The 26,301-nt window shown below is 44.6% G+C and overlaps 1 long non-coding RNA gene and 1 pseudogene across 2 annotated transcripts in view; both read right to left on the bottom strand.

Moving 5' to 3' along the window:
• LOC105369250 (uncharacterized) overlaps positions 1-26,301 on the bottom strand; it is a 117,941-nt gene that overhangs the window by 13,972 nt on the left and 77,668 nt on the right. For both annotated transcript variants that reach the window (XR_001741579.3, XR_001741578.3), the window contains exon 3: positions 15,697-15,785. This is a non-coding gene — a long non-coding RNA (uncharacterized LOC105369250). The remainder of the gene's footprint in view (positions 1-15,696; positions 15,786-26,301) is intronic.
• Positions 3,254-3,506, bottom strand: SNRPCP16 (small nuclear ribonucleoprotein polypeptide C pseudogene 16; annotated as a pseudogene).

Genomic DNA, 26,301 nt, shown 5'->3' on the forward strand with positions numbered 1-26,301 from the left:
GCGCAGCTAATTTTTGTATTTTTAGTAGGGACGGGGTTTCACCATGTTGACCAGGCTGCTCTCGAACTTCTGACCTCGTGATCTACCCGCCTCGGCCTCTCAAAGTGCTGGGATTACAGGCGTGAGCCACCACACTTGGCCAGACTGTAGTTGTTATTGGAGGCTGTGGTGAGGCTTTGCTGAGGATGGGGATGCCAGGAAGTCTTGTCCTTCAGCATCAGTGGTAGTGCTGGTGGACCAGGTGTGTCAATACTAGGGACCATGGGCAGTGTTTGTGGACACTGATGATAGCCTGTTTGCGTGGGCCAATCCCTGGGCTCCCAGGTGGCTTCTTTGCTTGCTGGCAGTGGCAGCACTGGGCCAAGTGGGCAGGTGCACCTCTGGGCTCCTGGGTGGTGTGTGTGGCAGTCTGATCTCTAGTTCTCCAGGTGACGTATGCAGGTTCTGGTGGTGGGTAGGCAGGCGTTTCCTCAGGTCTCTCAGTAGTAAGTGTGAGCACTAGCTCTGGAGGCAGGTGAGTCAATCTCCAGGCCCCCAGATGGTACATTCAGGCACCAGCATATTCCTATGCATTTCTAGATAAAAGTATTTTTCAGAAAACCTAAGCATATGTCCTATTAATACAACTTACCCTCATCAACTCTGCATGAGAAGAAGGGGGAATTCCCTCAGTAGAACAGTCAGAATGGAATCACAGACTTGTTTTGAACCAGTCACTGGTAAGTGGGGGTAGGCTAAAATGATAAGCTCAGAATCTAAACCTTAGACTAGGGAATGGCAAACTTTTTCCATAAAGAGGCAAACGGTAATATTTTAGGCTTTTGGTCTAGATAACCTCTGTTGTAGTGACGCAGTGGTGCCATCGTAGCCTAAAAGCATATGTAGACAATGGATAAATCGATGGACCTGGATTTATTCCAGTAAAACTTAATTTATACAGTCAGAGGGCCAGATTTGGCCCTTGGTCTATAGTTGGCCAACCCTGTTTAGAGCAGTCAAAATTTATTCCCTAGGGCTGGGCCAACTTTTTCTTAAAAAAAGAAAAAAGAAAGCAACCCACTGTCAGAATAAAATAAGGTTTCTATTTAAAAAGAAGAAGAGGCTGGGTGTGGTGGCTCATGCCTATAATCCTAGCACTTTGGAAGGGTGAGGCAGGAGGACTGCTTGAGGCCAGGAGTTTGAAACCAACTTGGGCAATATAGTGAGACCCTCTCTCTGCAAAGAATAAAAAAATTAGCCAGGCATGGTGGCACATGTCTGTAGTCTTAGCTACATAGGAGGCTGAAGGGCAAGATCATTTGAGCCCAGGATTTTGAGGTTACAGTGAGCTCTGACTGTAACACTTGTACTCTAGCCTAGGCAAAGAGGGAGAACCCAAAAACAAACAAACAAAAAATAGGTTGGTTGGGGCGGGTTGGAGAAGAAAGTATTTCTGAATTTCTGGGTAGGTTACTGGTAGTGTCAGGCCAAACTAGCTCTACAGTCATATTCATTATAAATAAAGGCAACTAGATGATCTCCATCTAGCTATTAAAAATTGGTTAAAATCTACAGAGATAAAGGACAGTGACCCTTGTATCAGTTAGTTGTTGTCACAAAATGCTGCATAACAAGTCACTACAAATCTCAGTGGCTTAATACAACAATCATTTATTTTCATGGATCTATGGGTCAGCTGAGGATTGGTCAGTCTAGCATGAGCATGTCTGGGAAGCTCGACTTTGCTCTTGGTGTCTCTTATCTTCTGCTGGAAGCAGCAGCCTGGCCTAGGCTTGTTCTCATGGTGATAGCAGGAGTGAGCGAGCACAAATGAATTCACACTTTCCAAGTTTTTGGTCATACAGATTAATATTCCAGTGGCCAAAGCTAGACACAATTCAAAACCCAACATTAGGGACTGGAGAAATATACTCCGATTCTTCAGTGGGAGGAACTGCAGAGACAAATGGCAGAGTCTTGGATACAGGGAGGACATGGATCCATTAATGTACCTTAATCAATCGCAACCCTCTAACCACCAATACAATTAAATAAGTATTTGTTGAATGCACTTGTGCCTGAATGCTTCTGGCTGCAGCCCAGGCAATGGGGGCCTGACTGGGGAGGGACCATAGCAGGGACTCGATGTCCTGCAAGTCTGCATGTCATTGTGCACGGCCGACTCCACATTGGTCATGGCTGACTTGCTTTATCCTGCGTCCCCAAGGGGCAACGATTGGCTGATTATATTTCTGAACAATTTTGACAAAGTTGTTTTCAGGAGCCCAGGAAGCAAATCAGTTGTAGATTTGAATTTTGCAGGGTGTCAGAATTGTTGAATATATATATAGTCTTTTACATGCTGATAATTATTTCCGCATCACAAAGAAGGCCGGCTATTAGGAGGCTGCTGTTCAATTCCTTTGCCCCTTGAACTCATGAGCTGTGTCTATGTGGGGGACACTCAGTTGTTAGAGCTGTTTCCCTTCATAATAACATCAGCCAGCATTCTAAATAAATGCAGGAAATTAAATAGTCTTCCCCAGACAGGTACTTTGCCCTTCTAAAGTGAATTACACATTCTAAAATAAAACACAGTCACATTAAAAAACCAAAAGGCCTTTGTGTCAGGTTGGTCTGGCTTCAGCGAAGATAATATTTGCCTCCAGAGTAGAAGATCTGTAGAATCCACGGTATTGCATATGGCAGCCCCACATCTTGTTTCCTTTTCTTTTTTTTGTTTTTAACTAAAGCAGTTGGCAATTTTATTTTCACATTTCCCAATACAAATGAAAACTGCGTCTTTTTTGGCCCCACTTCTCCCTTCCAAAACTATTCTCTTTGATAGGGCAAGGGGGCAAGTCTTCCTTATGCTGTTAAGAAAACCCGATATCACAGCAGCATGATCTCCTGGTGAAGGGAGCAGGTAAATATAAAATTCATATAGGCCAGGCGCAGTGGCCCACACCTGTAATCCCAGCACTTTCGGAGGCTGAGGCGAGCGGGTCACGAGGTCAGGAGATTGAGACCATCCTGGCCAACATGGTGAAACCCCGTTTCTACTAAAATAAAAAAAAAATTAGCCGGGCATGGTGCACACGCCTGTAGTCCCACACTACTCAGGAGGCTGAGGCAGGGAAATCGCTTGAATCCGGGAGGTGGAGGTTTCAGTGAGCTGAGATCATGCCACTGCCCTCCAGCCTGGGCGACAGAGGAAGACTCTGTCTCAAAAATAAAGCAAAACATTACAAACAAAAAAAAACACAACAATAACAACAAGAAAACAACACTGATGCAATGAGGCCTCCCCTCTATCCTTATCTGTCTGGCCGAGTCATTCTGGGCTGACTGGGCACCATCATGAGACGGGCAGGAGATCTCATCATTGGGTACCTAGGAATCATGGGCATGTGGCCTCCTAGGGGCGGCCTCATTCCAGGAGCAGGTCCCACTGGCATCATCCCAGGAGTATTAGGACCCATCATTGGCATCATGGGCGGGCCCCCCATATGGGCTGCTGCCATCATTCTGAAATGTGCGAGAAGTGTCAAATACACATTAGATTGTGAAGACTTAATATAAAAAGAAAGCAAAGTATTTTGTTATTGTTAAAATATTTTATACATGTTGACCTGCTATTTTGGATAGATTTGTTTAAATCTGTGATATTATTCCAATTACCTTCACTTCTTTTGTTTTACTTTTTAAAATGTGGTTACTACAAAATGCAAAAGTAAATATGTGGCTTGCATCATATTTCATCACATTTAGTGTGGACCCTGAGGATCTAGGGGAGTTATGAGCCTTCAGTTGATGGTGACCCAGGTCAACGTGAATTGCTCTAAAGAGAAGCAAAGGGCTTAAAGAGAATGTATAAATGGAGCGAGGGAGCTCAGTCTCCCAGGGTGAGGAAAGGCTTGCTTTCTTACACAGTCTGGCACTTCTTCAAAAGCTTAAACACAGAGTTCTATGACCTAGCACTTCCACTCCAGTTTATGAAAGAAATGAAAATATATGTCCGTCCAGAAACTTGTGCACAAATGCTCATAGCAGCATTATTCATAATAGCGCCAAAGTGAAAACAACACAATTGCTTGTCTACTGATGAGTGGAGAAATAGAACATGGTTTGACTATGCAATGGAATATTATTTAGTCATCAAAAGGAATGAAGTACTAACACGTGCTACAACACGGATGAACTACGAGAATATTAAGCTAAGTGGAAGAAACCAGTCACAAAAAGTCACATATTCTAAGATGTCATTTATATGAAATGTCCAGAACACGCAAATCTATGAAGACAGAAACCCTGTCTCTACTAAAAATACAAAATTAGATGGGCGTGGTGGCACATCCCTGTAATCCTAGCTACTCGAGAGGCAGGAGAATTGGTTGAACCCGGGAGGCGGAGGTTGTAGTGAGCCGAGATTGTGCCACTGCACTCCAGCCTGTGACAGATACTCTATCTCAAAAAAAGTAGATTTTCAGGGCTTAGTGGGAGGAGGAAATGGCAGGAAACTGCTCATGGATACAGGGTTTCTTTTTGGGGTGATGTAAATGTTTTAAAACTGATCATGATGGTGGTTGCCGAGCTCTGTGAATGCACTGAAACCATTGATTTGTTCACTTTAAATGGGCAAATCATACGGTACCTGAATTATATTTTAAGAGTTATATAAAAAAGAAAATCTTCCTTGAAGAGATGACACTTAAGGAGAGGCCTAGGGAGTGGGATGAGTTCACTATGTAGAGAAATGAGGAACAGCATTTCAGGGTGAGAAACAGCATAGTGAAGGCCCTGAGGTTGATAGGCATAGAGCAGATTTAAGGGACTTGTTTTTTGAGACGGACTTTCACTCTTGACGCCCAGGCTTGGGTGGAGTGGTGCGATCTTGGCTCATGGCAACCTCTGCCTCCCGAGTTCAAGCGATTTTCCTGCCTCAGTCTCCTGAGTAGCTGGGATTACAGGTGCCACCCACCACACCTGGCTAATTTTGGGATATTTAGTAGAGATGGGGGTTCCACCATGTTGACCAGGCTGGTCTCGAACTCCTGATCTCATGTTATCCAGCCGCCTCAGCTTCCCAAAGTTCTGAGATTACAGGTGTGAGCCACTGCGCTCAGTCAGATTTAAGGGACTTTCAAGAAGTTTGTGTGGCTGAAGCCTGCAGGGCAAGCGAGACAATCAGGAAATGAGGCTGGAGAAAGAGAGGGGCTAGGTCACGGAGGGTCTCACATTAGTGTGTGGAAACTTCACACGAGTGGTCCCACTTTGGGCATCCCACCTAACTACTCTGTGTCCCAGCTTCCCCATTGGTGAAATAAAGGACTGATGTAGGGATGGAATGAGATAGTGTGTGCTCAGTAAAGATGACCTTTTATAATTTTTTTTTTTTGAGACGGAGTCTCACTCTGTCGCCCAGGCCGGAGTGCAGTGGCACGATCTCGGCTCACTGCAAGCTCCACCTCCCGCGTTCACGCCATTCTCCTGCCTCAGTCTCCCAAGTAGCTGTGACTGCAGGCGCCCGCCACCACGCCCGGCTAATTTTTTTGTATTTTTAGTAGAGACAAGGTTTCACCGTGTTAGGGAGAATGGTCTGGATCTCCTAACGTCATGATCCGACCGCCTCGGCCTCCCAAAGTGCTAGGATTACAGGCGTGAGCCACCGCGCCCGGCCGAGCTTTTATCATTGTTAACCCACACAGCAGAGGGAGCCATTGAAAGCGAGTGATCGGTTTGGATGCACCTTCTGAAGTGATCGCTTTGGTCCCTGTGAGGAGTGCAGATTGTCACAGGGCCAGGGGAAGACAGAGGCCAGTGAGGAGGCATTTGCAGTCAAACAACTGGAGGTGATGGTGGCTTGCTTTATGGTGGTGTCAGGAGAGTGGCTGAGCAGTGAACGGATCTGAAAAGATTTAGGAGGAAAAACCCACGTGACTTGGTCACTGAATGTGGGTTGTGGGGGCTGGAGGGAAGATGAGAAAGAATGAGAAGAAAAACATACTGAAGTGGGCCCTCCAGCCTAAGGTTACTTGAGGTCCCTTTGTGAAGAGGAATGTTTGTGTTTATGATGAAGATGTCTAGACTTTCAAAGGCCATTTGCAGTATTTTTTTTTTTAACACCCAACAACTCCTCCGTCCCTATGCCCTAAACATATGAATTTTTTTTTTGCCCTAATTTATCACAGAGGGATGGATGTTTATTTGCTTTAATGGGAAATGCAGAATGCCACTAAGAAAGGATATTAAATTAATCTGGATTGCTGTGAGGGAGTTAAATCTGTTTAGATGTGCCCCAGTGTTACTATAATAGTTTGGTCTCAACCCATTTCTGGCCTGCGGCTGCAGGAGGTTGACTCCCAGCTTGCTTTCATTTGAAAGATCCCAGCAACAAGCACACTTGGCATTTCCAGCCAAACCCACTTTGTGCAGCGAAGGAAAAGTTGAGGAGTGCCTCTGTTGTTTTCCCCCAAATCATTTGGCAGAAATGTGGCTGGGAGCTTCATTGCTGATTTTTTCAGTTTTAATATTGCTGTGGAAAGCCTGTACCAACCCTCAGCCATGTTATTCATCCACAGCTCCAGTCTGGGCTGCGATTTGTTTCTCCTTTGAGTGGCACAACCTTATTTTCCATTAAGACTCAAAGCAAATAGACACTCATGCACCATCACCATCACTCCCCCTGCTTGGTGGAGGGAAGTCAGTGGAATGATTCTAGTTTGGTGTTCATATCGGTGGGACTTATTTATTTATTTATTTCTGTAATTTCTCTCTGTCGCCAGGCTGGAGTGCAGTGGCGTGATCTCGGCTCACTGCAACCTCTGACTCCCTGGTTCAAGTGATTCTCCTGCCTCAGCCTCCCGAGTAGCTGGGCTTACAGGCATGTGCCACCATGTCCGGCTAATTTTTTGTATTTTTAGTAGACACGGGGTTTCACCATGTTGGCCAGGGTGGTCTTGATCTGTCCTCATGATCCGTCCGCCTCGGCTTCCCAAAGTGCTAGGATTACAGGCGTGAGCCACTGCGCCTGGCCTAGAGTTGTTTTTAAAAGCACTTTTCTCTCAAATTAACTCCGGGGTGTCCCACTGTGACTTGGGAAAAGGTTGGATTTTCTGGAGGTGGAAAGTCAAACTTCAAATAGAATTTGGAGGCTGCCACTGTGGCTCATGCCTATAATCCCAGTACTTTGGGAGGCTGAGGTGGGTGGATCATTTAAGGCCAGAAGTTCGAGACCAACCTGGGCAACATGATGAGACCTCGTTTCTACTAAAAATACAAAAATTAGCCAGGCGTGGTGGTACATGCCTGTAATCCCAGCTACTTAAGAGGCTGAGGCAGGTGTTATGGCTTGAACCTGGGAAGCAGAGGTGTCCTGTGTCCAAACCCCATGAGGCGTATCAGATGGCTGAAGATAAAATCGGTCACGCTGTGTTGGGATTGGGGTTGCTGTTATCATACCTCATCCCCACCCCTGCTTGGCATCCACAAATAGTCATCTTCAATGAGACATCCCTCCTGCCCCTGGCTGCCTTATTTCATCTGCACCCAACCATATCCGTTGCTTGTCAGTGGGTCTCAACCTTGGCTGCAACTTGGAATGTCCTGGGGAGATGAGACAATACCAAGGCTCTCTCTCACTTAGCGTGATGTTTCCAAGGTCCATCCACATGTAGTAGGCACCAGTATTTCCACTGTATGGATACAGCACATTTTGTTTATTCATTCATCAACCAAATGGCCATCTTGGTTGTTGCTACCTTTTGCTTATTATATATATTACATGATTCCATTTATATGAAAGGCCCAGAATAGGCAAATCTGTAGAGGCAGAAAGCAGGTAAGTGGTTGCCAGGAGCTGGGGGAAAGGGGAGGGGATGCAGAGTGCTTGATGGATACAGGGTTATTTTTTGGGGGGGCGGGGGGTGTTAATGAAAATGTTTTGGAACTAGACAGAGATGATGATTGCTTAACATTGTGAATGTATTTAATGATACTGAAGTGTATGGTTTCATACAGGGACTTGTATGTTATGTGAATTTTGCCTCATTAAAAAAATACTGCTAGGAGCAATGGCTCATGCCTGTAATCCCAGCACTGTGTGAGGCCAAGGCGGGCAGATCACCTGAGGCTGGGAGTTCGAGACCTGCCTGGGCAGCATGGTGAAACCCTATCTCTATTAAAAATACAAAAATTAGCCAGGCGTGGCTGTGCACACCTGTAATCCCAGCTACTTGGGAGGCTGAGGTAGGAAAATGGGTTGAACCCGGGAGTCAGAGGTAGCAGTGAGCTGAGATCGCACCACTGCACTTCAGCCTGGGTGGCAGAACAAGATTCCATCTCAAAAAAAAAACAAAAAAACAAAAAACACACACACACACACACACAAACCAAAACTACTGATGACCATGTTTCATCCCCAAGAGATTCTGTAATAATTGATCTGGGCTGCAGAGCCCGGGCACTGGGGTTGTAAAATCTCCCCAGGTGATTCTGATGTGCAGCTGTGTTTGAGAATCTCCTTCTGGAATGAACTTGTTCATGTCTTACTTGTGTTGTTTTCTAGCCTGCCAATGTCTTTCTGTTTCCCTTCACATCTTTGGGGGGTAATTTTTACAATGCAGTCTTAACAACCAGCTGCCTCAAAATGCACTGGGATACCTCGTAACCAGGTAGCTCCCCATCTCCAACTCTGACCTGCCAAGTCAGAATCTTGTGCGTGGGGCCCAGGACTGTAAATATTGAAACAGGCAGTGACCTGGGAACTATTTCTGAACACCCCTAGGTTTCCCCTGTGTTTGCCCTTTCCTTTCACATTTGGACCCCTTTGTGTGCTGACCACTGGGCTGTTTCACATGGACATAACATAAAAAAGGCAGGCCAGGTGCATTGGCTCATGCCTGTAATCCCAGCACTTTGGGAAGCCGAGGTAGGCAAATCACTTGAGGTCAGGAGTTCAAGATCTGCCTGGCCAACATGAGTAAACCCCATCTCTACCAAAAATATGAAATTAGCTGGGTGTGGTGATGCACACCTTTGATCCCAGCTACTCAGGAGGACGAGGTTGGAGAATCCCTTGAGCCAAGGAGGCAGAGACTGCAGTGAGCCGAGATCGCACCACTACACTCCAGCCTGGGTGAGAGTGAGACTCTTAAAAAAAAAAAAAAAAAAAAAAAAAAGACAGAGATGATCCTTCCTTTATGGAGCTCTCAGTAAAACAAGAAAGCTCACGATGTCCTGGCATTTGTCAGAAATATATTTGGTATATGTAGCTGGGGTCACATGCTTGACGTGCCTATTGAAAGCTTCTGGGTAGGAAGAGAACAATCATCACAGCATCACAGCCTGGCATAACTGTCTCCCAGGACAGGTCTCCCTGGGGAGACTGAGACCACAACTCTGAAATCAGAGCTCAAATCCAGGTTCTACATTTCCCTCAGTAATGTACATGATGTAGGACAGTTTTTATATTAGTTATCTATTGCTGTGCAACAATATTACTGCAAACTTTGTGGCGTGAGACAGCACACAGTTATCACTACGTGGTTTCTGTGGGTCAGGAATCCAGGCGTGACTCAGCTGGGTTCAGTGCAAGGCTGCAACCATAATGTCAGCCAGGGCTCAGTTCTCATCTGGAGGCTTGACTGGTGATTGATCTGCTTCCCATCTCATCTGGTTGTTGGTAGCATTCAGTTCCTTGCAGGCTGCTGGACTCAGGGCCCCAGGTTCCTGCTGTCCTCAGCTTCTTGCCACATGGGCCTCTCCATCTGGCCACTCATGACATGGCAGCTCACATCTTCAAAGCCAGCAAGATAGCCTCCTAGCAAGACAACTTAACATCCGATCTAACATAATCACTACATCCCATCACCTGTGCCATATTCTCTTGGTTATAAGAAAGTCATAGTTCCCTTTGTCAGACGAGTAGACTGCAAAAATTTTCTCCAATTCTGTAGGTTACCTGTTCACTCTGATGGTAGTTTCTTTTGCTGTGCAGAAGCTCTTGAGTTTAATTAGATCTCATTAGTCAATTTTGGCTTTTGTTGCCATTGCTTTTGGTGTTTTAGACATGAAGTCCTTGCCCATGCCTATGTCCTGAATGGTATTGCCTAGGTTTTCTTCTAGGGTTTTTATGGTTTTAGGTCTAACATTTAAGTCTTTAATCCATCTTGAATTGATTTTTGTATAAGGTGTAAGGAAGGGATCCAGTTTCAACTTTCTACATATGGCTAGCCAGTTTTCCCAGCACCATTTATTAAATAGGGAACCCTTTCCCCATTTCTTGTTTTTGTCAAAGATCAGATAGTTGTAGATAATGTGGCATTATTTCTGAGGGCTCTGTTCTGTTCCATTGGTCTATATCTCTGTTTTGGTACCAGTACCGTGCTTTTTTGGTTACTGTAACCTTGTAGTATAGTTTGAAGTCAGGTAGCGTGATGCCTCCAGCTTTGTTCTTTTGGCTTAGGATTGACTTGGTAATGCCAGCTCTTTTTTGGTTCCATATGAACTTTAAAGTAGTTTTTTTCCAATTCTGTGAAGAAAGTCATTGGTAGCTTGATGGGGATGGCATTGAATCTATAAATTACCTTCGGCACTATGGTCATTTTCATGATATTGATTCTTCCTACCCATGAGCATAGAATGTTCTTCCATTTGTTTGTATCCTCTTTTATTTCATTGAGTAGTGGTTTGTAGTTCTCCTTGAAGAGGTCCTTCACATCCCTTGTAAGTTGGATTCCTAGGTATTTTATTCTCTTTGAAGCAATTGTGAATGGGAGTTCACTCATGATTTGGCTCTCTGTTTGTTATTGGTGTATACGAATGCTTGTGATGTTTGCACATTGACTTTTATCCTGAGACTGCTGAATTTTGCTATTTTTAGTACAGACGGGGTTTGCTGAATGCAGCCCCCAGTCACGTACTCCCTTCTTGGTCAATCGATCACCACTCTCTCATGATCACGACCCTCTCACACGGACCCCCTTAGAGTTGTGAGCCCTTAAAAGGGACAGGAATTGCTCACTTGGAGAGCTGGGTTGTTAGAGACGTGTGCCACCACTCCCAGCGAATTTTTGTATTTTTAGTAGAGACGGGGTTTCCCCATGTTGGTTGGCCAGCATAGTCTCGATCTCTTGACCTCGTGATCTGCCCACCTTGGCCTCCCAAAGTGTTGGGATTACAGGTGTGAGCCACTCCACCCAGCCCACAGAAGGCTTTTCATACTTGCTTAGCAGCCTCCTGCATCCTACGCTAGCACCTGGCACTCACAACCTGTGGGCTGCTCTCATCCATGATCATCTCTCCCCAGGCCTGCTGTTCCTCGAGAAAGGAAGTTGTAATGGGCAGAATTCTAGTACAGCCCCCAAGAGAACCACTCCCTTATATCTGCTCCCTGTATCATCTCTTCTTGAGTGTGTGCAGAGCTTGTGATTTGGCCAAGGGGAAGGAATTTTGCAAATGTGATTATGGTCACACTTGCTTTGTTAAGCACATTTGCTCAGCTGACTTTGAGTTCATCCAAAGGAGGATGATCTTAGGTGGGCCAGACCTAATCAGGTGAGTCTTTTAAAGATGAAGTTTCAGAGATTCAACCCTTAGCCTCCAAGGAGACACAAATGGCCATGCTGTGAACTGTCTTTGGAGGTGGCAGCTCTAGGAGCTGAGGGCCTTCGTTCAACAATTGCAAGAAATTGAATTCAGTCCACAAACTGAATAAGCTTGGAAGAGGACACTGAGCATCTGTTGAGACCCCAGCTGACACTCTGATTGTAGTATTGTGACCCTGAATAGAAGACCCAGTTAAACCCTGCCCAGACCCTTGGTTCATGGAAACAGATAATAACTGGATGGTGTATTAAGCTGCTCAGTTTGCACTGGTAAATCCACCAACAGGAAAGTAATATAGAAGTTAAATGGGCCAGGCATGGTGGCTCATGCTTGTAATCCCAACACTTTGGGAGGTTAAGGTGGGTGGATCACAAGGTCAGGAGATCGAGACCATCCTGGCCAACATGGTAAAACCCCGTCTCTACTAAAAATACAAAAATTAGCCAAGCGTGGTGGCACGCACCTGTAGTCCCAGCTACTCAGGAGGCTGAGGCAGGGGAATCACTTGAACCCAGGAGGTGAGGTTGCAGTGACCCGGGACCATGCCACTGCACTCCAACCTGGGTAACAGAGAGAGACACCATCTCAAAAAAAAAAAAAAAAAAGAAGTTAAATGAATACTTTTGACAATTGATGAAAGTTGCTTTCATTCCCTCTTACTTAATCATCTTTATCTTAGCCCTGGAAGAGGGATGCTTTAACCCCATTTGTAACAAGTGAATCTGCGACCCAGGAAAGTGATAGAATTTAGCAAAGTCCACCTTACTACCTGGCGGCCCCAGCTAGAACACAGCCCCAGGTCCATATACCTAAAGTCATTACAGCGTCCACTAAAATTTTGCCCCTCTCTCGATGCCTTCCTCTTTAGAAGCCTGTTCCTTCAGGGATAGATCCCAACCCAGTGTTACAAGGCACTGAACTCTGATTTTCACAAAATATAGTAACTGCCCCCCAAAATTAATAATAGTATTTTTGAGCTGGGCACGGTGGTTCATGCCTGTAATCCCAGCACTTTGGGAGGCTGAGGTGGGTGGATCATGAGGTCAAGAGATCGAGAGCATCCTGGACAACATGGTGAAACCCCGTCTCTACTAAAAATACAAAAATTAACTGGGAGTGGTAGCAGGCGCCTGTAATCCCAGCTACTCAGGAGGCTGAGGCAGGAGAATCGCTTGAACTCAGGTGACAGAGGTTGCAGTGAGCCAAGATTGCACCAATGCACTCCAGCCTGGCAACAGAGCAAGACTCCATCTTAAAAAAAAAACAAAAAACAAAAAAATATTTTTGAGTCCTTATGTGTCAACCACTGGGCTATCCCAACACCAATAGTTATTATGATTATGATTATTTTTTCCATTTTACTGATGAGGAAACCAACACATAGAAAGGTAAAGGAACTTGCCAAAGGTGACGGTCACACAGCCAAAGAACTGTAGAAGCAGCACAGGAATCCCAGCAAACTCACAGCCAAGCTCTGCTTTTCACCTTCACATCATACAGTCCTCAGACTAAAACCCTAACTCTGACCTTCCAAATCAAAAATCATACTCAAGGCCGCACGCGGCGGCTCATGCCTGTCATCTCAGCACTTTGGGAGGCTGAGGCAGGTGGATCACCTGAGGTCAGGAGTTCCAGACCAGCCAGGCCAACATGGTGAAACCCCATCTCTACTAAAAATACAAAACTTAGCCAGGCGTGGTGGTGGGTGTCTGTAATCCCAGCATTTTGGGAGACTGATGCATGAAAATCACTTGAACCCAGGAGGCAGAAGTTGCAGTGATCCATGATCATGCCACTGCACTCCAGCCTGGGCAAGAGAGTGAGACTCTGTCTCAAAAAAAAAAAAAAAAAAAAAAAAAAATTGTGCTTAATAATAGCTTGGAAGTGCACATATCTTCTGTGAAGGTTGATGGACTACAGTTAGCTTCAAAACACAAATAAGTAACTGTGTTTAAATGAGGCTTTCTGTGTAATATCTAGGGAAAATCAATGTGGCTATTCATATTTTGTTTCCCCTTCCAGGCACAGAGAAGTTGCCCATGACTCTGTGATCCGTTTTGTCCAATGAACCATGAGCAGCAGCAACTTGAGTCACCTCTAGGTGGAAGTGTTAAGAGGCTCTATGATCCACCACATTCCCTTTCCCCTGAAGTGGTGATCAAGGACACATGCAGAGATGGGGCTTTTGTCAGCCTGGATCCCTGAGTGAACACAATGAACAGACCACCACACAATGCCCTAACACAGCCCAGACATGCAACATGACCAAGAATAAGCCTCACTGTGGCCAGGCATGGTGGCTCATGCCTGTCATTCCAGAACTTTGGGAGGCCAAGGCGGGTGGATCATTTGAGGTCAGGAGTTCAAGACCAGCCTGGCTAACATGGTGAAATCCTGTCTCTACTAAGTACAAAAATTAGCCAGACAGTGGTGGCATGGGCCTGTAATCCCAGCTACTCAGGAGGCAGGAGAATCACTTGAGTCTGGGAGGCAGAGGTTGCAGTGAGCTGAGATTGCACCACTGCACTCTAGTCTGGGTGACAGAGTGAGACCCTGTCTCAAAAACAAACAAATACCTCACTGCATGGAGCCACTGAGATTTGGGGATTGTTGTTACTGCACCAGAACCCAAATCATCCTGACCACTAGGGTGTCCTAACTAGGGTTTCTTACCAAAAGCAAAGGCATTTTTAAAGTTCCTGACATTTAAACAAAAGAGCAAATACCAATATCTACCACTTTGTCAGGCTAACACACCCAAACAAAGCCAACAGCCAGAAGTTAAAATAAACAGATCATTAGGTTGAAAATAGAACTGTCAAAACAGGCACAATTGACTTCATTTAGTGATTGCAAAGAGCATCAGGCAAGACACAGGTATGGTCATCATAACATTTATCACATGCTTAATTACACGTTTGACTAAGAAAAACATTGACTAAGAAAAACACAAAGTATTTAATCTCATCTGTAGTTCAAAGTGCCTATCCGTGTATTTATCTATTCATCCTGATTTATTTATTGAGCAACTCTTTTGTGCCAGGCACTGTGCTGTGTTGCGGGAAGTCAGGGACCCCAAACGGAGGGACCGGCTGAAGCCATAACAGAAGAACGTGAATTATGAAGATTTTATGGACATTTATTAGTTCCCCAAATTAATACTTTTGTAATTTCTTATGCCTGCCTTTACTGCAATCTCTAAACATAAATTGTAAAGATTTCATGGACACTTATCACTTCCCCAATCAATACCCTTGTGATATCCTATGCCTTTCATTACTTTAATCTCTTAATCCTGTCAGCCGAGAAGGATGTATATCGTCTCAGGACCTGTAATAATTGCGTTAAGTACACAAATTGTACAGCATGTGTGTTTGAGCAATATGAAATGTGGGCACCCTGAAAAAAGAACAGGATAAAAAAAAGAACAGGATAACAGCAATTGTTCAGGGAATAAGAGAGAGAACCTTAAACTCTGACTGCTGGTGAGCCGGGCAGAACAGAACCATATTTCTCTTCTTTCAAAAGCAAATGGGAGAAATATCGCTGAATTCCTTTTCTCAGCATGGAACGTCCCTGAGAAAGAGAATGCACACCTAGGGGTAGGTCTCTGAACTGGCCCCCCAGGGCGTACCTGTCTCTTATGGTCGAGATTGCAGAGGTGAAATAAACTCCAGTCTCCCATAGCACTCCCAGGCTTATTAGGAAGAGAAAATTCCCACCTAATAAATTTTGTTCAGACAAGTTGATCTCAAAACCCTGTCTCCTGATAAGATGTTATCAATGACAATGGTGCCAAAACTTCATTAGCAATTTTAATTTCACTTCAGTCCTGTGGTCCTGTGATCTTGCCCTGTCTCCACTTGCCTTGTGATATTCTATTACCCTGTTAACTACTTGATGTCTGTCACCCACACCTATTCGTATACTCCCTCCCCTTTTGAAACTCCCTAATAAAAACTTGCTGGTTTTTGTGGCTTGTGGGGCATCACGGATCCTACCAATGTGTGATGTCTCCCCCGGACATCCAGCTTTAAAATTTCTCTCTTTTGTACTCTGTCCTTTTATTTCTCAAGCCAGTCAATGCTTAGGAAAATAGAAAAGACCTACCTGATTATCAGGGCAGGTCCCCTGATAGTGTTGGGTGATGGTAATGCAATGATGAAGATGGCAGGCATGCCTCTGCCCTCTAGGAGTTTCTAGGATACAGAGGGGGACAAACAAAAAATAAGTAAATCCATGAAAGAAGTATAGGTGGAACCTGCACCCAATATTTCAATGTAGGTTCTTTCTATTTTCCATAAGTGTCAGCCAGCTGAGAAATAGAGACACTACAAAGAGAAGAATTTTACAGCTGGGCTGCTGGGGGTGACATTACACATTACACATTAGTAGGACTGTGATGCCCTCTGAGTCTCAGATGAGCAAGTTTTTATTAAGGGCTTCAAAAGGGGAGGGGGTGTAAGAACAGGGAGTAGGTACAAAGGTCACATGCTTCAAAGGGTAAAAAGCAGAACTACTACTAAGGGTCTAACAAAGATCACATGCTTCTGAGGGAACAGGACAAAGGGCAAAAGCAGAACTACTGATAAGTGTCCAGCAAAGATCACAAAGCAAAGGGCAAAAGCAGAACCACTGATAAGGGTCTATGTTCATTCACGCATGTATTGTCTTGATAAACATCTTAAACAACAGAAAACAGGGTTCAAGAGCAGAGAAGCAGTCTGACCACAGATATATCAGGGCGGAGTTTTTCTCCACCCTAGTAAGCCTTTGGGTACTGCAGGAGACCAGGGCGTATCTCAGTCCTTATCTCAACCGCATAAGACAGACATTCCCAGAGCGGCCATTTATAGACCTTCCCCCAGCAATGCATTCCTTTCCCAGGGTATTACTATTAATATTCCTTGCTAGGAAAAGAATTTAGTGATATCTCTCCTACTTGCATATCCATTTATAGACTCTCTGCAAGAAGAAACATATGGCTCTTTTTGCCCAACCCTGCAGGCAGTCAGACCTTATGGTTGTCTTCCTTTGTTCCCTAAAAATTGCTGTTATTCTCTTCCTTTTCAAGGTACACTGATTTCATTTTGTTGAAACACACATGTTTTACAATCAATTTGTACAGTTAACACAATTATCACAGTGGTCCTGAGGTGATGTACATCCTTAGCTTATGAATATAACAGAATTAAGAGATTAAAGACAGGCATAACAAATTATAAAAGTATTATTTGGGAACTGATAAATGTCCATGAAATCTTCACTATTTATGTTCCTCTGCCATGGCTCCAGACAGTCCCTCTCCATTTGGGGTCCCTGACTTCCCACAACAAGAAGCAATAAGAGGTTAAGGTGGAGAAGAGCAGGGAAGTCCACTTTATAAAGGGGTCAGGAAAGAACTGTCTGTGGAAGCACCATTTTAGCTGAGACCTAAAGGATGGTCTAATCTGGGGAGGTGCAGAGGAAAATCATTCCAGGCTGAAACAGCAAGTGCAAAGGCCCTGTTGTGGAAAAAGGTTTGAAAGTCCAAGAAAACAAAAGGAGGCCATAGTGGCTGAAATAGAGTAGGCCAAGAACAGGAGATAGGAGAGGGCTGGAGAGGTGGCAGGAACAGGCAGAAGACTCGGGGTCTCCATTTTATTCTATGTACCATGGGCAGGAAAGGCAGGGATGAGACTCAATGGACATCTTAAGATCACTGAAGCTGCCAGGTAGGAAATGGATTGCTGAGCATGGAGAGCAGGTGCAGAGTACCAGTTAAGACCAGTTAGGAGGCTGCTGCTGTAGCCCAGCTGAGATAGTGGTGTCCTACGCAAAGATAATGACAGTGAAGCTGGAGAGAGTGGACAAGTTGGATAAAGTTTAGAATCACAGGACTTGCTGACTGGAGAAGAGGGCAAAAGCAGAGTTAGCACAACACATGAGTTATGACCACTTTGAGCAGCTCAGCAGGGTGTGATGCCATTTACAGGACAGAGATGGCACGGACAGAGCCCATGGAGAAGGAGGAGGAAAAAAAGAGTTTAGCATTGGGTTTTTTTTTAAGACAGGGTCTCTGGCTGTGTCACCCAGGCTGGAGTGCATTGGTGCAATCATAGCTCTTTGCAGCCTCAAACTCCTGGGCTCAAGTGATCCTCCTGCCTCAGCCTGCCATGTAGCAGGACTACAGATCCTACAGATGCACATTACCATGCCTAGCCTTTTTTTTTTTTTTTTTTTTTTTTTTTTTTTTTTTTTTTTTTTTTTTTTGTAGATAGGGAGTCTCACTGTGTTTTCCAGGCTGGCTTCAAACTCCTGGCCTCAAGTAATCCTCCCACCTCAGCCTCCCATAGCACTGGGATTACAGCCATCACCTACCACTCCAAGCCATGAGTTTGGCTTTGGATGTAACAAGGTTGAGGTGTTCATGAGTTGACAAGTGGAAAAAACAAGAAAGAAGTTGAGTGTTTAAGACTGCTGTTTGAAGGAGAAGTCTAGCCTCAAGACAAAAGTTCAGGACTCATCAGCTGAGAAATGGCACTGGAAATTATGTAAATGGATGAGCTCAGCTAGCAAACAAGTCCAGAGAGAGCAGAAAGTCCAGAGAGAGCAGCACTGGGTTATGCACCTGGCCTAATGCCACCCCGCTCCTCTCAATCCCTGTGTTATGCTGGAAAGGGATCAGCCTCTGGTGAGTTTCACCAAACCCCCACATCTCTTTCTTCTGAGACCTTCTCTAAAATCCCCTCTTTTGTATTTAGTGAAATGGGATTCTCTTTTTCCCATCCACCTTCAGCAAAAACTTTTGACTATGAGAAGAATGAGGATGCATTTAGTATCTGTTCTGCATGGCTAATTCCATCAAAGATTTCTCATTATTCATGCCTGGCAGTCTCATTTTCTTCTTTTGCCTCTAAGAGCACAGTTGTAGCCTTAATTACTGACATTTTCACTCTTCTAATACCAGCGATTTCCACCATCTCAGTTCTCAGGAAGTTCTGTTTGCAGAATTATCTCCTGAATCCTCACCTGGAGATAGAAATTCTTCTCTGTGGCCATTTCTTCCCCCTCTAATTCTTATCAAAAAACTCAGTGATCTCTGTGCATCAAATATTAAACTCGAGCTTAACAGATCATGCTTCTGGCTTGTCTCTCTCTGGCCTGTGGATTAGCAGGTTTGCAACATTTGCAGAGAAGACACCAAATTCTCAGGAGGCCAGAGTTTCCAAAGGTACTGGTCACTCTTGCTCTCTTTCTCCTGCTCAAAATTCAGCACTAGAGAGTGTTACACCATTGCACCTGCAGAGGAGTTCATCTGACTCTAGGGACTACAGAGGAGAGAGATGGACAAACTAACAGGCATTCAGAAAATGACTACCACAATGGGGAAGAAAATGAAAGTCAAACCAAATAAGCAATGGTCAAAAAAAAAAAATCTAGAGGGCAGCTGCAGTGGCTCACACGTGTAATCCCAGCACTTTGGGAGGCTGAGGCAGGTGGATCACTTGATATCAGGAGTTCGAGACCAGCCTGGGCAACATAGTGAAATCACATCTCTACTAAAAATACAAAAATTAGCCAGGTGTGGTGGCGGGCACCTGTAATCCCAGCATTTTGGGAGGCTGAGGTGGGTGGATCACCTGATGTCAGGAGTTTGAGAACAGCCTGGCCAACATGGTGAAACCCTATTTCTATTAAAAAATACAAAAATTAGCCAGGTGTGGTGGCAGGTGCCTGTAATCCCAGCTACTTTGGAGGCTGAGGCAGGAGAATTGCTTGAACCCAGGAGGCAGAGGTTGTGGCAAGCAAAGATTGCACCACTGCACTCCAGCCTGGGAAACAGTGAGACTTTGTCTCAAAAAAAAAAAAAAAAAAAAAACAACCTAGAGATGTCCATGTAGGCTGAAGAGAATATTCCAGAGCAGAGGTTGGGACACTATGGCCCATGGGCCAAATCTGACCTGCTTGCACATGTGTTTGTCAATAAAGTTTTATTGAAACACAGCCATGCACATTTGCTACATATTGTCTATTGCTGCCGGATTTGGCTGTTCTCTCATGCTATAAAGAAATACCTGAGGCTGGGTAATATATAAAGAAAAGAGGTTTAATTGGATCACAGTTTTGTAGGCTATACAGGGAGCGTGACACTGACATTTGCTGAGCTTCTGTGGAGGCCTCAGGAAACTTACTATGATGGCAGAAGGTGAAGCAGGAGCAAGAGAGTAAGGTGGGAGGTGCTACACACTCGTAAACAACCCGATCTTGCAAGAACTCACTCACTATTGAAAGGACAGGACCAAAAGGATGATGCTAAATCATTCATGAGAAATCCACCCCCATGATCCAATCTCTTCCCACCAGGCCCCACCTGTAACACTGGGGACAGCTTTTATCTTGGCTTTTTCACTGGCAGCCCCTTCCTCAAGGACTTAACTTGTGCCAGCTGACTCTTAGCACATCTAAGAATGCAATTAAGTGATAAGATACTGTGGGGCAAGCAATATCTGCAGTTCCCAGGAATTAGTCCGATTGATAATGCCTAAAGCCCCACGTCTATCACTTTGTAATAGTCTTAAGGCCCTTAGACCTAGAACTGTTTACTTTCCTGTAACAATTTATCCTTTTAACTTTTTTGCCTACTTTACTTCTGTAAAATTCTTTTAACTAGACCCGTTTCCCCTTTCTAAACTGAAGTATAAAAGAAAATCTAGCCCCTTCTTCGGGGCCAAGTGAACTTTAAGGCTTAGCCATTTCTTGGCCGCCAGCTAAATAAGCAGACTCTTAATTCATGTGAAAGTGTGGCATTTTCTCTAACTCATTCAAGTACAACATTTGGAGGCCCGAGCGAGAGACGCCACGAGGCGAGAGCCGGGCTCGCTCCGGGCTCCCCGGGAAGGACGGCCGGCTCGTGGGGGGGCGCCACCTAAAAAAAAATTTTCAGGTCCTCGAAAGGTGACCGTCTTCCAGAGGAGAGCGGATCGACTACCGTGTGGGTGCCCACAAAAATTCCACCTCTGAGTCCTCGACTTCTGACCCCGAGGTCAGGTAGGTCAGATTTGACTTCAGTTCTAGTAAGAGGGAAGCGGCCCTGATGAGGGTGTCCCTCTTTTGACTCTGTCTGTTTCTCTAGGACGCTAGAATGTAGAGCCCTGGTTTTCTGTTAGGCACCTCTGTGTCTCTTTCTAGGAGGGAAGTGGCCCTGACAGGGGCCCTCCCTTGACTCAGTCCACATCCCAGGATGCTGGAGGACTGAGTCCTGGTTTCTGGCAGACCGATCACTCTCTCTCTCTCTTTTTGTATCTCTCATCTTTCTCTTGTTCAAGTTTCTTGAAGAATCTCCAAGAAAGAAAAAAAAAAAAACCTGTTATATACTCTCTGTGAATAATGAATGAATGAGGGAGGACAAGGGCTTGCGCTTGTCCTCCAGTTTGTAGCTCCACGGCGAAAGCTACGGAGTTCAAATAGACCCTCACCTGCGGTTCCTTGGCGACCTCATAAGGCTTAAGGCAGCATCAGGCATAGCTTGATCTGAGCCGCAAGTTTATACCGGCCTGCCAATGTTAAGAGGAGCCCAAGTCCCCTCATGGGGAGCGGCCAGGCAGGCATCTGACTGATCCCATCACAGGAAACCCTCCCCTTCTCTATCTTAAAAAAAAAAAAAAAAAGGAAGAAACAAACTGTCATAACTGTTTACATGCCCTAAAGTCAATTGTTTGTTTAATGTTGATTGTTCTGTTCAGTGTCTATTGTCGTTAGTAGTTGTGAAAGTTTTGCATGTCAAGACGTTGATATTGCCCAAGACGTCTAAGTAAAAACTTCTTCAAAGTCCTTAGTGCTGATTTTTTGTCACAGGAGGTTAAATTTCTCATCAATCTTTTAGGCTGACCACCACAGTCCTGTCTTTTCTGCCAGAAGCAAGTCAAGTGCTGTTACAAGAAGAAGTGTGAAAAACATTTGCCTGATTAAGATTTCTAGCACCATGAAAGTTGTAAGTATTTAGATCGTCATACTCCTCGTCCAAGCGATTAGACGTCCTCTAAACTAAACCAGTAGTGAGTTCAAAACAGCCACCCTGCAGATTTCCTTGCTCACCTCTCTTGTCATTCTGTAACTTTTCCTGTGCCCTTAAGTAGAACACTGTGTAAAGAAACGTACGCCCGTACTGCTTTACTTCGTTTAGATTCTTACTCTGTTCCTCTGTGGCTACTCTCCCATCTTAAAAATGATCCGAGTAGTCCTTTTCCATCTTGTCCCTGCCCCCTATCCCGCACATCTCTTTTTGTGGTGCGACAGCAAGTTTACCGTCTCCAGGACTTGGCTCTGCTCTCACTCCTTAAACCCTTAAAAGAAAAAGCTAAGTTTAAGCTATTTGCGTTTAAGTCACAAAGACACCAAAAGTATTTAAAGTGCAGATCTAGAAGAAGAAGAAGAACGCCTAGATCAAACTGACCCAGAAGATCTCAGGCTGGCTCTAGTCCTCCTCCCTCAATCTTAAAGCTACAGCAATGTAGCAGGTAGTATTAGCTGTTGTAAGTTTTTCTGCTCTTTCTAGTCATATTGATTCTGTTCTTTCACTACTCCAGTCCCCCAAGAAATAAGTTTCTCTGTCCATGCTAAGTTCAATATCTATGCTCAAATCTTATTAAATTGCCTTCAAAACAAACAAACAAAAAAAAAAACACTTCCTCCCAGCCTTGTAAAATTAAAGCCCTCTCCAATGTATGCTGCAGAATTTTCCTCTCAGTTTCTCAGAGGATTATAAAGTCCGCCTTAAAAAAGGCAAGCTCCAGACACTCTGCAAAATAAAATGGCCAAAGTTTAAAGTCAAGTGGCCCCCTGAAGGGTCATTGAACCTCACAATTGTTCAAGCTGTGTGGCAGGTTGTTACTGAAACTCCTAGCCACCCTGATCAGTTTCCCTACATTGATCAATAGCTAAGTTTAGCAGGATCCCCCCTCCATGGCTCCGCTCATGTGCCATTCATAATTCTACCTCCAAGGTCCTCCTAAGCCAGACCGCGTTTTCACCTCGACCCTCAGCCGGTTCAGCTCCCCCTGTACTGCCTCCCTCTGAAGAAGAGGAGAGTCTCCCTCACCCAGTCTCACCGCCTTACAACCAACCTTCTCCCTTGAAGTTATCCCATGTCTCCTCGACGACGTCCTCTGTAGGCTCGCCACCCATTGCCTCTCAATCATGACTGTGGCAGTAAGAAGTAGCCCCTCTACTACCACTGAGAGAGGCACAAGTCCCTCCAGGTGATGAGGGCTCAGCACCCTTCTTAGTTTGTGTTCCTTTTTCTACTTCTGACTTATATAATTCGAAAACCCATAATCCTCCCTTCTCTGAAAAGCCCCAGGCTTTGACCTCTCTGACAGAGTCTGTACTCCGGACTCACTCACCCACCTAAGATGATTGCCAACAGCTCCTTTTAACCCTTTTCACCTCTGAAAAGAAAGAACGTATCCAAAAGAAGCCAAAAAGTACTTCCTCACATCAGCCAACGGACCGGAAGAAGGAGCTAGAGACCTCCTTGAGGTGGTCTTTGCCTCTACCTGGCCTAACCGGGACCCAAATTCCTCAAGTAGAAAGGGAGCTTTAGACGATTTTCACCGGTATCTCCTCGCAAGTATTAAAAGAGCCGCTCAGAAACCCATAAACTTGTCTAAGACGACCGAAGTTGTCCAAAGGCCCGATAAGTCACCAAGAACGTTTTTAGAGCGCCTCCAGGAGGCTTATCGGACTTACACCCCTTTTGACCCGGCAGCTCCCGAAAATAGCCGTGCTCTTCATTTAGCATTTGTGGCTCAGGCAGCCCCGGATATTAAAAAGAAACTCCAAAAACTAAAAAGATTTGCTAGAATAAATATCAGTCAGCTTTTAGAAATAGCCCAAAAAGTTTTTGACAATCAAAAGTTTAAAAAACAAAAACAAGCAACACAGGCAGCTGAAAAGGCCGCTGATAAAGCATTCAAAAGACAAACAAAAATCTTAGTGGTGGCTATCCAAGAAGTACAGAATGAAATAGCCCGTTAATTTAGCATTAACTGAAGCCCCTGCTTTAGCCCTCCCTAATATCTCCATAAAAGCCAAGAAGTTGCTAAAGACGTGTTTACTCAGACTCTAAGACCCTAAAGACGCCCAGTGGCCTATTTATCTAAGAGGCTAGATCCTGTGGCCTCTAGATGGCCAAGTTGTCTGTGAGCCGTAGTGGCTATAGCAAGCCTGGCCCAAGGAGATGATAAGTTAACTCTAAGCCAAAATTTAACCCTTACAGCTCCTCATGCAGTAAAGACCTTACTATGAAGTGCTTCTGGCAAATAGATGTCAAATGCTCGCATCTTGCAGTATCGAAGTTTACTGGTAGATCAGCCTCGTTTGACTTTCTCTCCCACAAAGTGTTTCAATCCAGCTACACTACTTCCTGACTCAGACTCCACTATTCCTGCTCATGACTGTCAAGAACTGTTAGAAACTATCGAATCTGGCCTATCTGATCTTCAAGCTGTGCCCCTAGAAAAGGCAGATGCCGCCGTGTTCACAGACAGTAGCATCTTCCTCAAGCAGAAAGTATGAAAAGTCAGTGCAGCTGTTACCACGGAGACAGATGTGTTGTAAGCTCAAGCTTTACCAGCGAACAACTCAGCACAAAAGGCTGAATTGATGGCCCTCACTCAGGCTCTCCGATAAAGTAAGAATAAACGTATTAACATTTACACTGACAGCAAGTACGCCTTAGCTACTGTGCATGTACATAAAGCCATCTACCAGGAAAGCAGGCTACTCACCTCAGCAGGTAGCTGTGATCCACTGCAAAGGACATCAAAAAGAAAACACGGCCGTTGCCCATAGTAACCAGAAACCTGATTCAGCAGCTCAGATCGCAGCAAGACTTTCAGTCACGCCTCTAAACTTGCTGTCCACAGTCTCCTTTCCACAGCCAGATCTGCCTGACAATCCTGTATACTCAACAACAACAACAAAAAAAACTGGCTTCGGATCTCAGAGCCAATAAAAATCAGGAAAGTTAGTAGATTCTTCCTGACTTTAGAATCTTCATACCGTGAACTCTTAAAGAAACTTTAATCAGTTACCTACAGTCTACCACCCATTTAAGAAGAGCAAATCTACCTTAGCTTCTCCAGAGCCATTTTAAGATCCCCCGTCTTCAAAGCCTAACAGATTAAGCAGCTCTCCAGTTCACAACCTGCGCCCAAGTAAATGCCAAAGAAAGTCCTAAACCCAGCCGAGGCCACTGTCTCTGAAAAAACTCGCCAAGAAAAAACTAAGAAATTGACTTTACAGAAGTCAAACCACACCAGGCTAAGTACAAATACCTTCTAGTACTAGTAGACACCTTCTCCAGATAGACTAAGGCATTTGCTACCGAAAACGAAACCACCAACACAGTAGTTAAGTTTTTACTCAATGAAATCATCGTTCAGTATAGGCTGCCTGTTGCCATAAACTCTGATAATAGAGCAGCCTTCACCTCGCCTATAGCTCAGTCAGTCAGTAAGGCCTTAAACATTCAATCATGGTGCCTATCAACCCCAGAGCTCCAGGCAAGTAGAACGCATGAACCACACCCTAAAAAACACTCTTACAAAATTAATCTAAAAAAACAGTGTAAATTAAGTAAGTCTCCTTCCTTTAGCCCTACTTAAAGTAAGGTGCACCCCTTACCAGGCTAGTTTCTCACCTTTTGAAATCATGTATAAGAAGGCACCCCCTATCTTGCCTAAGCTAAGAGAAGCCAAATTAGCAGAAATATCACAAAATAATTTATTACAGTACCTATATTCTCTCCAACAGGTACAAGATATTATCCTGCCACTTGTTCGAGGAGCCCATCCCAATCCAATTCCTGACCAAAGTCCTGCCATTCGTTACAGCCATGAGACCTAGTGTTTGTTAAAAATTTCCAGAAAGAAAGACTCACTCCTGCTTAGAAAAGACCTCACACCGTCATCCTCACGACTCCAACTGCTCTGAAAGTAGACGGCATTCCTGCCTAGATTCATCACTCCCGCATCAAAAAGGCCAACAGAGCCCAGCTAAAAACATAAGTCCCCAGGCCTAAGTCAGGCCCCTTAAAACTGCACCTAAATCAGGTGAAGCCATTAGATTCATTCTTTTTACTACCTAACTTACTTGTTTTTGCCCGTTACATCCTCTGTGCCTTCCTACTCCTTTCTCCTCACCTCTTTCACAACAGGACGTGCATTTGCAAACACCATTTAGAAGGCCAGTACCTCCAAGGAAGTCTCCTTTGCAGTTGACTTATTTGTACTTTTCCCAAAGCCAGCCCATACCCACGAAAAGCAACACAATCTGCCAGTTCCAGGAGCAGGAAGTGTCGACCTTTTAGCAAGATTCAGACACTCCAAGAGCCAAACTAAGTGTAGAAGCTCCAAAAGTGCAGAAAAAAGACTCCAAAATATTGACTTTTACCTCTGTCCGAGAAATCACCCTGATGCTAGCTGTCAAGATACTTATCAGTTTTCCTGTCCTGATTAGACATGTGTAACTTTAGCCACCTACTCTAAAAGATCAACCAGATCTTCAACTCTTTCCATAAGTCCTGCTTCTCATCCTAAATTATGTACTAGAAAAAATTGTAATCCTCTTACTATAACTGTCCATGACCTTAATTCAACTCAATAGTATCATGGCCTGTCATGAAGATTGAGATTTTATATCCCAGGATTTAATGTTAAGTCTATGTTCACC

Source organism: Homo sapiens, chromosome 4 (genome assembly GCF_000001405.40).
Source record: "Homo sapiens chromosome 4, GRCh38.p14 Primary Assembly".
NCBI classification, from domain to species: domain Eukaryota; kingdom Metazoa; phylum Chordata; class Mammalia; order Primates; family Hominidae; genus Homo; species Homo sapiens.